General features: G+C 54.2%; 1 protein-coding gene across 4 annotated transcripts in view, besides 2 other annotated features; it reads left to right on the top strand.

Annotated features, from left to right (window-relative positions):
• GRM4 (glutamate metabotropic receptor 4) overlaps positions 1-13,196 on the top strand; it is a 136,980-nt gene that overhangs the window by 31,049 nt on the left and 92,735 nt on the right. The window lies entirely within an intron of this gene.
• Positions 3,585-4,373: an enhancer, noted in NCBI's record as "H3K27ac-H3K4me1 hESC enhancer chr6:34087978-34088766 (GRCh37/hg19 assembly coordinates)". NCBI's record gives its function as "activates a minimal SCP1, AML or CMV promoter by ChIP-STARR-seq in naive H9 embryonic stem cells {active_cell/tissue: H9 hESC(naive)}" and the evidence as "EXISTENCE:reporter gene assay evidence [ECO:0000049][PMID:30033119]".
• Positions 8,935-9,135: a silencer, noted in NCBI's record as "peak5759 fragment used in MPRA reporter construct". NCBI's record gives its function as "represses an SCP1 promoter by STARR-seq MPRAs in K562 erythroleukemia cells {active_cell/tissue: K562}" and the evidence as "EXISTENCE:reporter gene assay evidence [ECO:0000049][PMID:32103011]".

Below are 13,196 nucleotides of genomic sequence, written 5' to 3'. Positions count from 1 at the left end.
TCCAGGTGGAGAACCACCCCTCGAAGTGAACTTTATCACGCAGGAAGCACTCGGGTGAGCCCTGCCCTGGTGGGCTTCCACACTGGAGGGAGACGGCAGGCAGTGGGAAGACAAAGCATGTAGTGCGCATCGTCAGGGGAGCAGTGTCCTGCAGAATCACAAAGCAAGGAGTGGCTGGAGAGCCGCATGGGAGGGAATGTCAGTCTAGGCAGGGTTGGTGGGGGGGCCTTGTTCAGAGCGGACTTTTGTGCAGAACCTGAACGGAGTGGAGGGGCCGCCCTGTGGCTGTAAGAGTGTTCTAGGCAGAGGCAGTAACACGTGCAGAGACCCCGGGGACAGGACTCTGCTTGGCAGTTGATCTGAGCGGGGACCTTGAGATGTGGGTCCGAGACAGTCCGGGGATCAGGGAGAAGGCCTTCAAACCCCTCCTGATCTTCTTGCTGGCAGAGGGTGTCGTGGGAGGACAAGTCACCAGGTCTCTTGGGACCCCTGTTTCCTCACCTATAAAGTGGGCAGATGGTCCCTGAGCAGCCCTTGTGAAGCCACGGAGGTGAGAGCTCCCTGTGAGAGGCTCATTCTTCCCCTGGGCTCCCACCCTGATGACTTTTGCACACTCGGGCCTTCCTGGGCCTCTTCGGACCCCACCCCGTTACTCCCCCCAGCCCCCAGCCTGAGGATGGACAGAGTTGGGTGCTGGAGACCAGAGAGAGGAAGGGCCAGCCAGATGGGGATCCCCGAGGGGCAGTAATGTGGTGGCTGCCGCATGGACCCTGGGGCCAGCTGGCCTGGGTTCATACCCCTGCTCTGCCATTTGTTGCCTGGGAAAGCCTCTCTGTGCCCCCGTTTCCTTGTGTGTAAAATGGGGATGCCTGCAGCACCCACTTCATAGGTGCTGTGAGGATGAAATGCGTGCACAGCAAGGGCCAGGGCAGTGCCTGGCGTGTAGACCGTGGAGTGTGGAACAAAGTACCAGCTCTGGAGGCGGCATGTGGCAGTTGGTGCAGATCCTGGCTCCAGAAGTCTGACCCTCCTGGACCTCGCTCATCTCAGCTGGGAAATGGGCAGAATCACGTGCACCTTTCCAGGTGCAGGTGAAAATTGCAGTGGGAGCTGGTAGTGTGGCGGGCTCACACAGGGCCCGGTCATGTTTGTCCTCATCTCCTGCCGAAGGAGCATCTAAGGGGCGTTCGAGGGGTGTGGCCTGAGTCACGGAGCATGGTGATGGGGAGGGGCACATCACTGCATTGAGCCACAGGATGACTCTGGTAGGTGTGCCAGAGCCTCCTTGCATGGGGACTTACTGACCTGGGGTCCTCTGGCCCTTCACACTGTTGGGTGGCCCTGCTGCGGGCGCTGGGGTGATCTCTGGCTCTCTATGCAAGGCAGGGCTGAGGGTCTCCCCTTGCCAGTGAAGCAACCTGTGGCCCAGGTCCTGCTTTTGGGGCCTGCCTCTGCTGCCAACTCGCTGTGTGACCTTGGGTAACGTGGCCGCCCTCTCTGTAACTGAGAGCACAGGATTAGGCAGGCTTTGAGGCTCTGAGGTGACCCTGCTCCCCCTCACCCCGTCATGCTCTGTGCCTTCCACGGCCTGCCTCCTGGCCCTGCTCGGGCCGTGTCCTTCTGGAATGCCCTTCTTGCTGCCTTGTGGGCAGTCATACTGACTCGAATCCAGCAGGACTTAACTGACCTTCCCAGGGAATGTGGGGGCTCTTGCGGGAATCGTGTCTCTCCCCACAGTTCTGAGTTTCTTGAGGGCAGGATTGGGCTGAACCGCTCTTGGTCTTCCCCCCCTACTTCCAGTGCCTGGCCCAGAGACAGACAGACAGACAGACAGACAGACAGACAAACCGGGGAAGCCGCCAGCCCGGGGCCTTGGTGTGGAACTGAGGAACAGGATGGTGCCCGCAGCAGGGGTGGACCCCCCTTAGTCTGCAGGGTTAGCTGCCCCCCCCACCCCCCGCCCACCGCTGAATGAACCATGTGCCTTCATTTTTCTCCCGACTTTCTAAACTAGCATTTTTATGACCCAGACATGTTGGAAATGAAAGGAAAGCAAATTCTGCTTTATATTCCAATTGACCTTTATGCTTGCCACTCACTCGAGGCCTGGGCTGGGGGCAGTGAGGAGAGGCAGGGCCGGCCTCTATGCTTGGTTCCGTGTGGAGAGTGGTGGCCCGCAGCGCTGTTGCGGGGAGGGGAGCCGGAACACAGTTTTGTCCCCTCTTTCCCTGTCTGTCTATCCCCAGCTTCCTGCCTCCTTCTGTCTGACTGTGGCTTTCTGTTCCCCTCTCATGTCCTCCACCCCATCTCTTTCTTCCCCCTGGTGCCTGTTGGACGCCTTGTTGTCCCACACCACCCAAGCACAGAGAGAGAGTGTTGGGGCTCCCTCTCTGTTTGGGTGGTGTGGGACAGCCTCAGCCTTGGTGGCCTGTGGTTAAGGGCTGGAGGCAGAACGGCTGTCAAGCCCACCTGTTCCCTGTGGGACACATCCCAGCCTCTCTCCTACTTGGCTGCCCACCTGCTTGCCCGCCTGCCTCATACCTTGATTACGGCCTCGGGCATCTCAGTACTGAGCACTTCCTGGTGGGCACCCGCCCCACCCAGACCCCTCCCTCCGACTCAGGGTGCCCCTCAATCCCACCACAAGTCTTGGCACTGCTCAGGGCCCTGCTCTCCTTGCCTGTGGGTAGGGTGGAACAGCACAAGGTGATTAGCTCAGTGCCTGGCACATCGCAGGCCCTCAGGAAACAGGAGGTGTTGTAAAGTGGGCCCATGTGTGAGGAGAAGGCTGGATTCTCCTTCCTGTCCCTCCTCCCATTCCTTCATTCCTGGACCTCAGTTGTCTCCAGGCCTCAGTTTCTCCCTGGGGTTTGCTAAGAGGTGGTGCCCCAGGAGGAGGGATGCTCTGCTCAGCCCTGGCCCTGGCCCAGCAGAGGTGCCCTGAGCGGGGATCTGCCTCGAAGGTGCTGCCTGCTCCTGGTCTCCAGCCACCTCCAGGGCGAAGAGGGATTGAAAACTATCAGAGTTGAAATCTCCTGGAGGGGGAGCTCTGGCTGGGTAGAGCGGGGCCCTAATGGGAGCCCTAATGGGAGCGGACAGAGGTAGCACTTGCCACGTTCTCTGTCCCTGGGGTTGTGGCCGAGGGGAGGATGGGCAGCATTAACCTCTGTCAGGGCCCTGGAGAGGGTGGTGTTTATGTTCAGTGCAGTCTTCTCTCTCCTTCCCAGCTCAGGCTCTGGAAGCTGTCAGGGAGTCCAGTGAGGTCCCCACAGCAGAGCAGCTGGAAGAGAACAACCCTTAATCCCAGGGAATGAATTCCAGCTGGGAGACCCTAGCCAGGGAAGGAGTCTGAGGCTTAGGACTGGGGGGCGGTGTGTGAGGGTGAGTGGTTTCCGGGGTCAGGACTGTTCTGAGAGGAGACTTCAGCAGGAAGTGGAGTGTGTGCAGCTCTCACCACGCCGCCTTTTACTTTATTGAAAATGAGTGGCATGTTCAATGTGGGTCCGTCATGAAGGGCTTACTCTCTTTCACCAAGGTGTGCACGTATCTTAATAAATGATTTAAAACATATGGAAAATTATAGAGGATAATATAATGAATTAGCCTGTACCCAAGACCTGGCCACATATTGATATCTTCCAGTAACAGTTTCAAAATTGTTTAAGAAAGAAAACTTTGCAGGCTGGGCGCAGTGGCTCATGCCTGTAATCCAAGCACTTTGGGAGGCCGAGGTGGGCGGATCACAAGGTCAGGAGATCGAGACCACCCTGGCTAACACAATGAAACCCTGTCTCTATTAAAAATACAGAAAAATTTGGCCAGGTGTTGTGGCGCGCCCTGAGAGAGGGCATGATGTGCTCGTGTGTGGAGGTTGGCTATCCTGCTCCTGGGAGGCTGCTGGGGCTTAGGGGGTGATGTGGCAGGAGCTGGGGACCTGACAAAGGTGTCTTCCTGCCCGAATTGGTAGCTCCTGACAGCCAGGTCTCTGGTTGCTGCTGGAAGGAGGTTTTTGAGAAGCCTGAAGTGCGAGGAAATGTTAAGTGCCTTGTAAGTACTTTGATTATTTTAAATTCCTTAAGTGGTTTTCTAAGATGGTCCTAAGTATCCCAGGGACACAGACACAAAATCAATTAGGAAAGTACAACAAACCCAACAGGGGGAAAGAAGGGGAAGCCAGGAGCCCTCACCTGCCTTCCTTGCCTCCCTCACCCCCACAGGACCTGGCTGATCAGCCTGGGCCAGGACTTCCTCCCTCACCTCCCAGCCCTGGGCCAGGGAGCCCCAGGCCCTGTGCTGAGGCCTCGTGGAGGGAAAGAGTGTGCATGCTGGAGAGGGGTGCCTGAGGGTCTCCTTCAAAGATGGGTTTCTCTCTCTCCTGAATGAGCCTTTATTCAGTGGCCTTGGAGGAGACTGGGTTCCCCAGGCCTGGCTTACCCTTCAACCCCACAGATGCAAAATCTTTGGTCATTCTTCTAAGTTACGGTATTACTGTTTGAATGCATCATACATTCCCATGGTTCGGTCTTCAAGGTACCAAGAGACACACCCCAACCCCAGCCTGGCCCTGGAGGCAGCCATTATTCCCTGCGCACCCTTCCAGAGAAACTCAGGCCTGCGTACGGGCTGGGGTGCGTGTTGCCTCCAGAGGCTGGGTTCTCTGGATATCCTCACCGCAGGCCTGGGGTAGGAAGGGGATTAAATGCATATATATGGCTCCCGCATTCTGCCCCCTCTACGCCCCACCAAAGCTGCAGCACCTGCTGGGTCACCTGGCAGCATTTCCAGGGACATGCTTCGTCAGTGCATAAGGACCTTTTACTTTGTGTGGCTGCGTAGTGCCCCTGCTTCTGGTCTCCTCATGATGGACATTAGGTGGTTTCCAATCTAGGCTCCGACAGAACTGCGGTGGAAGTCTCTGCATGGGCCACTTTGCACGTCTCTGCAGGACAGACTCCTCCCCACAGAGGGCTTGGTCAAAGGGCAGGTGTGTTTGCAATTTCCCTGTACGTGGCCGCATTGCCCTCCTGCCAGAGAGGGGCAGGGCTGGTGCCGTGGTGCCCTGTGACACCTCCACCTCTGCAGGACATGCCCAGAAGGAGGCCCTGTGGCTGATCCCGACCTGGCCTCATGTAGCAGGTCAGGGACTTCCTCACTCACTCCCTCTCTCTCTTTCTTTCTTTCATGGAGTCTCTCTCTGTCGCCCAGGCTGGAGTGCAGTGGTGCGATCTCAGCTCACTGCAACCTTCGCCTCCTGGTTTCAAGCAATCCTCCTGCCTTAGCCTCCCGAGTAACTGGGATTACAGGCGCCCGCCACCATGCCTGGCTAATTTTTGTATTTTTAGTAGAGATGGGGTTTCACCATGTTGACCAGGTTGGTCTTGAACTCCTGACCTCAAATGATCCACCCGCCTTGGCCTCCTAAAGTGCTGGGATTACAGGCGTGATCCACTGTGCCCGGCCTCATCATCTGTTTCTTTTGTGGATCTCCACGGAATCTAGAGGGATGAATCACATATTTTTATTTGTTTTAACAGAGAGTTGTCAATATAGGAAAACAAATCTCTGCTCCTAAAAGAAATGAGGCAGAGAACCTACTGGAAGTTAGCAGCGAGTACCTGATTCAACCATGAACATTTTAATCTTCATGAGAGATTAAGTTAGTGGGTTTGGTTCCAGTTTGTACAGTTGTATTCATTTGGTAAATGTTTACTGAAGATGTGTGACAGGCCCTCAATTTTGCTGTTGAACCAGGAGGTGGGTTTTTCCTTTGCTTTTGTTTGCTTTCCAGTTCAATTAAAAAATGCATATTTTATGTGCACCTTGGGAATTAGCATGTGAGGATGGCCCACAGTTTTCAGGACTCTCAGATGCCTGCTGTAGGCGGCTTCTGGGCATTTCTTAGAAACTGCAATGGGACAGAGGGCCTGGTGGAGAACAGTAATAGGGAACTCAGGGATAAATCCTAATAGCTCACAATTTACAGGCTTTCACAGTCACTTCTTGATCATTCCACACAAGAGTCCTACAACGCGGTCAGGACGGCTTTTTTACAGATGAGGAAACTGAGGCCCAGAGAAGTTAATGTGTGGGGGGCCACCTCAGCCAGTTAGAATCAGAGCTGGGCTTCGAATCAGGGTCCCAGCCCCCCAGCACAGTGCCCTGCCCCTGCCCACACCTGGAAGTCATGAGTGTGTCCTCCTAGTCCAGCAGCTCTTAGTGCAGGAGCCTATGGGTGCTTTGCAGGCTGGAATCAGGTCAGCCCTTGCTCTATCCCATTAAGCACGGAACAGGCAGCCATGGGTCCCTGTGTGAGTGTGGCTCGATGTCCCTTAGCCCCTTCCTGTTATGGTGGCTATAAAAGCCAGCATGTTTGTCACAGATTTGGAAGAAAACAGCAAAGCATAAAGAAGCAATTTGAAATTGCTCATTCATTCTGCTATCCAGGATGGCAACCTTGATACATGTGTGTATTTCCTTCCAGCCCTTTTTCTGTGTAATTTACCAAATTGAGATCACAGCATCTATATGGTTCTGTAGCCAGCTTTTGTCCACTAGACTACAGTGGTGAGCATGTTCCAATATCCTTGATTAGTCTTTGAAGCCTGGCATTCAATGGCTAGGTCATCACCCAAGGGGCCCTCGCATCTTTCATATACTATGTCTCGCTGGTGGCTGGTTGGATGTGAGATCTTGGGGCTGCTTACCTGGCTGCATCTATGTATTTCCAGTGGCCTCTCTCCATGAGGAGATGCGACAGTGCAGCCTTGGGTGCTGGGTGGTGAGGAGCAGGAGGTGGGAGGCCCTTCCTAATTGGAGCGGTTATCATGGGAAAGACAGGTGCTCAGGTGAGCTCCCCATGGGGGCAGGTGAGGAGGTGGATGTGGCAGGTGGAGTGTAGGAGGCAGCCAGGTGTCCCAGGTGATACTCAGGGCCCTGGAGAGACGTGCCGGATGAACTGCAGGCATGGGAGCCAGGGACTATGGCTTCACTTCATGCTTGCTCAGGATGAAAGCCCCCTAAACCCCGGAAATTCAACTCAGGGATTTAAATCCAGTGTGGCAGCTGAGGTAGTGGGTGGGCAGGGAGCCAGGCTGGCAGGGAGGGATGACCTCACAAGTATACTTCACCATGGACAGGTGGGGTTTGTGGCAGGGGGGCCTGGGAGAAGGAGGCAGATACCCCTGAGGCTCTCAGGTTGGCATGGCCTTGGAAGCCCTTTTGGGCTGGCCCAGCCTGTCTCGCCCACCTCATCTTTGTTCCCTCCCTCCGGCCCTGCCATTTTCAGTTCCATTTCCCCCGAGGCCAGTCTCTAAATCCCCCCAGCTTCCCATCTGCCAGGCCTCTGCTTCTGATGGTCCACCTGCCCCGAAGAATGCTCTGTCTGCCTTTTCATTCCTTTACATTTTTCTTTAAAATGGAGGTACAACTTATACACTGTAAGATACACAAATTTCAGGTGTATGACTTGTTGAACTTTTATAAATGCATTTGCCGGTATCCGATAGAGAACATTCTCAGTGCCCTGGAAAGCTCCCTTGAGCCCCTCCTAGTTAATATCCTTTCCTCCCCAAGGATAATCAATAGCCTGATTTCTAACTGTGTAGACTGGTGTTGCCTGGTTTTGAGCCTCACGTAACAGAATCGTGCAGCAAGGTTTTTATGTCCAGCTTCTTTTGCTCACATTGTCTGTGAGAACCCCCTGGGGTTGGGTCTGTTGGTGGTTTGCTCACTTCTATTGCTCTGTACTCTTTCATTGTATCATTGTTTGGGTAATTCATCATTTATTTACCCTTTCTGCTGCCACTGGACATTTGGGCTGAATCCAGTGTTTGGCTATTATGAATAGAGCCACTCTTAACATTTGTGTACGTGTCTTTTAGTGGATGTAAACGCTCGTTTCTCATATATATATATTAAGTGGAATTGTTGGCTCATAGGTTGCATGAATGATTAGCTTTAGGAGGTGCTGCCAATCATTTTCCCAAAGAGACTGTACCTTCTTGCCACCTTTCTTTGCTTTGGTAATTCCACATTTGTTTTGAGGCCCATCTCCAATGCCCCCTCTTCTGCTGTCCTGAAGAGAATAACCCTGGTCACTGGGGTGTCAGCTCTACCAGGCAAGGTTGTGTCTCTCTTCTTCCCTGCTCTGGTCTCCAGTGCCTGGAACATAGTAGGTGCTTAATAAAATGAATGGTTGGATTTATGTGCCTGGTGTGTGCTAGGTGTTTTACACAGGTTATCTTGTGTGAGTCGCCAGCTAGGAAGTCAGTATCACCGGCCCCATTTTACAGGAGAGGAAACTGAGGCTTGCTCAGAAAGCAGTGGAGGGAGGCCTGCAGCGCTGCCTGTCCCTGAAGCCGGTGCTCATTCTGCAGTTCTAGGCGGCATGTGTTTGGAATTTCTTGCTCTTTTTCAGCTCGCCCACTTTGATTTCACTCGGCCTCATATTCTAGTCCGGGGGTTGTTGAATTAAATCTTGTGGGTGACCCAGTTAGTTTGTGACCCAGCCAACTCCTGAAGGATCTGTCAGCTTTTTCTTCATTCTGAGTCTGTGCCCCAGAATCAGGGATTTCCAGGTTGGATAGGGGTGGCGAGGCCGCAGAAAACCCACTTGTATGTAATTAAAGCCCTCTTCTGGTGCGGCCAACATCGGTACCTCATTTTTACCTTTTCAAAGTCCCTTTCCATTGATTGACCGTCCATGGAGGTCACAGTCTGGCCACTGTCATTTGCATTCTCTGAGTGATAACAAATGGAGCCCAGGGAGGTGTGATGTGTCCGCAGTTTCTCCTGGAGCCTGAAGAGCTGGGGTGAGAACCTCGAACTCCTCCTCCAGCCTCGCGCTGCACAGTTATTTAGGGAGGGCTGGGAGCAGACAGAGGATTGGAGTTGGGCCCAAAACCCAGCAAGGCTTGTCCCAGGGCCCCTTTGGGAAGCTAGAAAGGCTCTTTCAGAGCATCGATTTACTAAATGGTCTTTTAGAGGCCTGAAAGGTTTGCCGAGTGTCTTCGGGCAGACCCCTGGAGGCTGCTGTCCAAGGTCCTGAACCAGGACCTTGTGGCTGGGAGCAGGGGAAGGGGCAGCAATTTGGGCTTGGGGGTGGTTATGCTTCCCAGGGGGTGCGCTCCTGCCAGTTTTGGTGGGAGTTGGGCATGTGGCCGGGCAGACGGTGCGGGTGCCGTGATATTTTAATTGAAGCCTGGAGACACGGTTGCTCTCTCTACTGCGCTAACAATGTAGGGAATAAATAATTCAGCAGTGGCTGTGTTGTGCCTGCTGTCCTCACCCACGGGGGTGGCCACACGCATGCACACACACACACACGCATACACGCACGCACGCACACATGCAAGCTGTGGAGTGGGCCAGGAGCTGCTGTTCTGGCTGGTGGCTGGCCCAGAGGCAGCGTGTTGGCGTTTAGGCAGGGCCCTGACCACCTCTCAACCCTGGTGAACCTCTTTGCACCCAGGCAACCCCTGAGGAGAGGTTAGCAGCATCTGGGGACAGCTGCTCCTGGATGCAGTGATTAGTGGCACTTAAAGGTCCGTTTGTCCTCAGACCAGCCTGAGATGCTGGCAACCTGGAGGAAAGGCTTCTCTTAATGGACATGCTTCCTGGGCTGTGTTTTGAATGGATTCCATTTGATTCAGCAAACATGTATGGAGCTCCAAGTTTGTGCAAGATACTGGAGCAGGTGGTGGGGATGGGCAGGATTGCCGAGTGAATAAATCTGGGTCCTTCCTGGATGGGGAGGTGTGATGGGCATGTGATTTGCCACAGCTCAAACTGGGGTATGGGAGGGCTGTGAGGGGGTACAGGTGAGGGTCTAGGGGCTCAGAGGAGGGCGAGGGCAGTTCTGACAAGGCGTGCATGGGGCAGCCTTTGTCAGAGGTGGAGCCGGGCAGTGTCCTCAGGGTAGAGGGTGGGCACCGGTGGGACCTTGGGCTTGTCTGTGACAGGGATGTGGCATGCAGGAGGGTTGGGCAGAGGGTGAGTGGAGAGGGGCTGGAGGAAATTGGGGGGCTTAGGTCAAGAAGGTGGACTTGATCCTGCAGGATGGTGCCTGCTTGGATTTGGGAGTTAAAAGTATTCCTTTGGGTGTGGACTGGAGGGTTGGTTGCAGGGCAAGGCCTGAAGCTGAGAGAGTGATGAGGAGATGGATAGAACAATTCAGCCTGGAGGTGATGGTGGCCCGGATGATGGCCTTATGCATAGTGACATCCATTGGTTCATATATCCACCAAATAGCTGGTGAGCATCTTTTAGTAGCAGATGTTGGGTTGGGCTGAGAATGCAGCAGAGTGAGCCAAATGCATACCGTCCTTGCCCACATGGAGCTGACCTTCTGGAGTGGGAAGAAAGACAGGAGACATGATGTAATCACTTACATGAGTGGGGACAGGTGCTGTGGAGGGGACCTGCCCAGGGCCAGGGGCTAGAGAGTTGTGAAGGAGGGGAAGGGCTCTTGTACACAAGGCAGTCAGGGAAGACCTGGGGAGGGGACTTTGGAACACAGACCCAGGTGAGTGAGGAAGGCAGCCAGGTGGCTGGGTGGTGTTTTGGGTGGCAGGCACAGCCAGTGCAAAGACCCTGAAGCAGGAACATTTTTGGCCCATCTGAGGAGCAAGGGGGTTGCTCAGAGGGGAGGGGAAGGTGTGGCAGGGTTGGGTCAGCAGGGCCTGTGGGCTCTGAGACAGAGGAGAACTTTTACTCCAGGTGCAGTAGATAGCCTTGGAGAGTTTTAAGCAGAGTGACATAATTAGACTTACGTTTTAAAAAGTGCTCCCTGGCTGCCATGTGAGGACCAGATTTGCAGCACTGTCAGAGCCTTCAGCTGCACCCTGCTCCCCCACTCCTTCCTCCCTTCTCCTCTCACTCCTCCCAGAGAGTCGTCAGCCTCAGCTCTGCTCCACAGAAAGCCCCTGAGGAGACTTCCAGAGGGCTGGGCAGTTCTGCAGAGCCCCATCCTCCCTCCGAGTCCCACCCCAATCCTCAAAGCTCAGCCCAACCAAGCTGGGACCTCCAGCTACTGCTAGATAAACCCTGCACAAGGACCCGCATCTGTTTTCCTTATAAAGTGGGCATTTCAACAAATATCTCCCTACCTGGGTAGACGTTAGGTTTAAATGGGAGAACGTGGCCAGGCATGGTGGCTCAGGCCTGTAATCCCGAGGTGGGAGAATCACTTGAGCCCAGGAGTTCGAGACCAGCCTGGGCAACATAGTGAGACCCCATCTCTGCAAAAAATTTAAAAATTAGCCAGGTGTGGTGGTGAGCACCTGTGGTCCCAGCTTATCAGGAGGCCGAGGTGGGAGCATCGCTTGAACTCAGGCGTTTGAGGCTGTAGTGAGCTGTCATTGCACTGTTGTACTCCAGCCTGGGCAACATCTCTAAAATAGAAAGAAATGAAAAGAAAGGAAGGAAGGGAGGGAGGGAAGGGAAGGGAAGGAGGAAGGAAGGAAGGGAAAGAAGAAAGGGAAGGGAGGAAGGAAGGAGGGAAAACAGAGAATGTATGTAAAAGCTGTAAATGGAAGGTCATTATTATTGCAATTTTCAAACCCAGAGGGAATGACCAAAGGGAATGGTTAAGGACAGACCCTGAGAGCAGTTGTTTAGCAACCTGTGACTCCAAAAGATGGCCCTGGCGAAAACATAAGTGGATTCAAAGCTGCAGGGAAGAGAAGTTCGGGGAAGCAGATGCCTAGCAAACTGACAGAGGAAGTTAGGGGTATGGGAGCATCCCTGGCCGAGAGGTGCAGTGAGGGCATCTGTGCCACTCGCATTCTTGGTGTTTCATGCCCTGAGCCCCAGGCAAGGGAGGGAGCCAGGCAGGGGATAGGGCGGGGGGCTGAGTCCTGTTTTCACTAGAGGTTTTTCCTGAGCTTCCCCTGCCGCCTCCAACCCCTTCCCACCAAGAAGTTGGGGCCAGGATAGGGTTTCCAGCTGGAACCTGCCATGGGCACTAAAGTGTCCTCATTTGGGGGGAAGCTCACACTCCCCACCTTCCACACTCAGGCCCTTCTCTCCCCCACAGAGAAACTGGTGAGTCCCCCCAGCTGCATCAGATAAGACCCAACAACAGGGACCTCCCTCTCTCCCACCTCAGGAGGGTGGTTGAGTTAACTGCCTTTCATATTTTTGGCAGAGAGCTGGCAGTGAGACCCAAACAGGGAATGCACTAATTGAGGGGCTCCTTCTGGGAAACCCCTCTGATTGGTGTCCAGGAATCATGGGTCTGCCATGGCCGCCAGCCCAGCATGGCTTATAGAGCTGTAAGCAGGGAGATGCTGCCTCCCTGGGGCGGGGGAGAGGAGGAAAAGAAAGGGGCTATTTAATTTAATTCCGTGTTTTATCGCTCGTTGGATAAATAACCTTCATTAAGATGGAAGGTGGGGGGATGGACAGGGAGAAGTTTGATTAATTTCAATCTGGTTTCTCATTTGTTAATTTTCTCCCAGTTCAGCAGGATTATTAAAACAAATTACAGGCACTGCTTTCTCCTCCCTGGGCTGAAGCAGGGCTTTCCAGGAGTGATCATGTCCCCCCCTTCCACTACGTTTATTTAGGTGCAACTTGGGGTGAGTGAGGAGACCTCCCCATTTCAGAATCTCCAGGCAAGTCTCCTTTTCTTATTGAGAAACCTCAATAAGATCTGGACAATCAGGAAATGGAACAGGTGGGGGTGCGTCTGGTCTGGCCACACTCCCCCAAGCAGTGCCAATTCCTGGGCAGGCTGGTGACTGAGGAGAGGGGCAATGCTGCCAACATCAGCCCATGGTGTCCCGGGGGGCAGCCTCTGGGCATCCCCAAGCTGGTGCCAGTGCCCAGCGACCTTAATCCTCCTCCATCCCCACTGCCACCTGGCTGCTGCCCATTCTGACCCCCACCCAGCCCATCAGCTCTTGCCCACCTTGAGCTTTGCCCCTGCCAGGCTGGTTCTCCCATGGGCAGGATCCAGCCCTGCAGAAAGCTGTCCCCTGCCGGGGTGTGGATGGGGGACAGCACTCTCTTGCCTACCATGGGCAGTTAAGAGTTCCAGCTGCTTGATGGGCAGCTGGGCAGGATGGCAAGATCAGGGGTGGGTTATGAACACTCTCTTGTGCTCCCCAAAATACACTGTTAATGCTGCCTCCACCAGTGCTGACTCTATGTGTGTGTGTTTGTGTGTGTGTGTGTGTGTGTGTGCACGGTTGGTT

Source organism: Homo sapiens, chromosome 6, assembly GCF_000001405.40.
Source record: "Homo sapiens chromosome 6, GRCh38.p14 Primary Assembly".
Lineage (NCBI taxonomy): Eukaryota > Metazoa > Chordata > Mammalia > Primates > Hominidae > Homo > Homo sapiens.
Note: the sequence above shows the minus strand (reverse complement) of the source record. Positions and strands in the feature narration are given on the sequence as shown.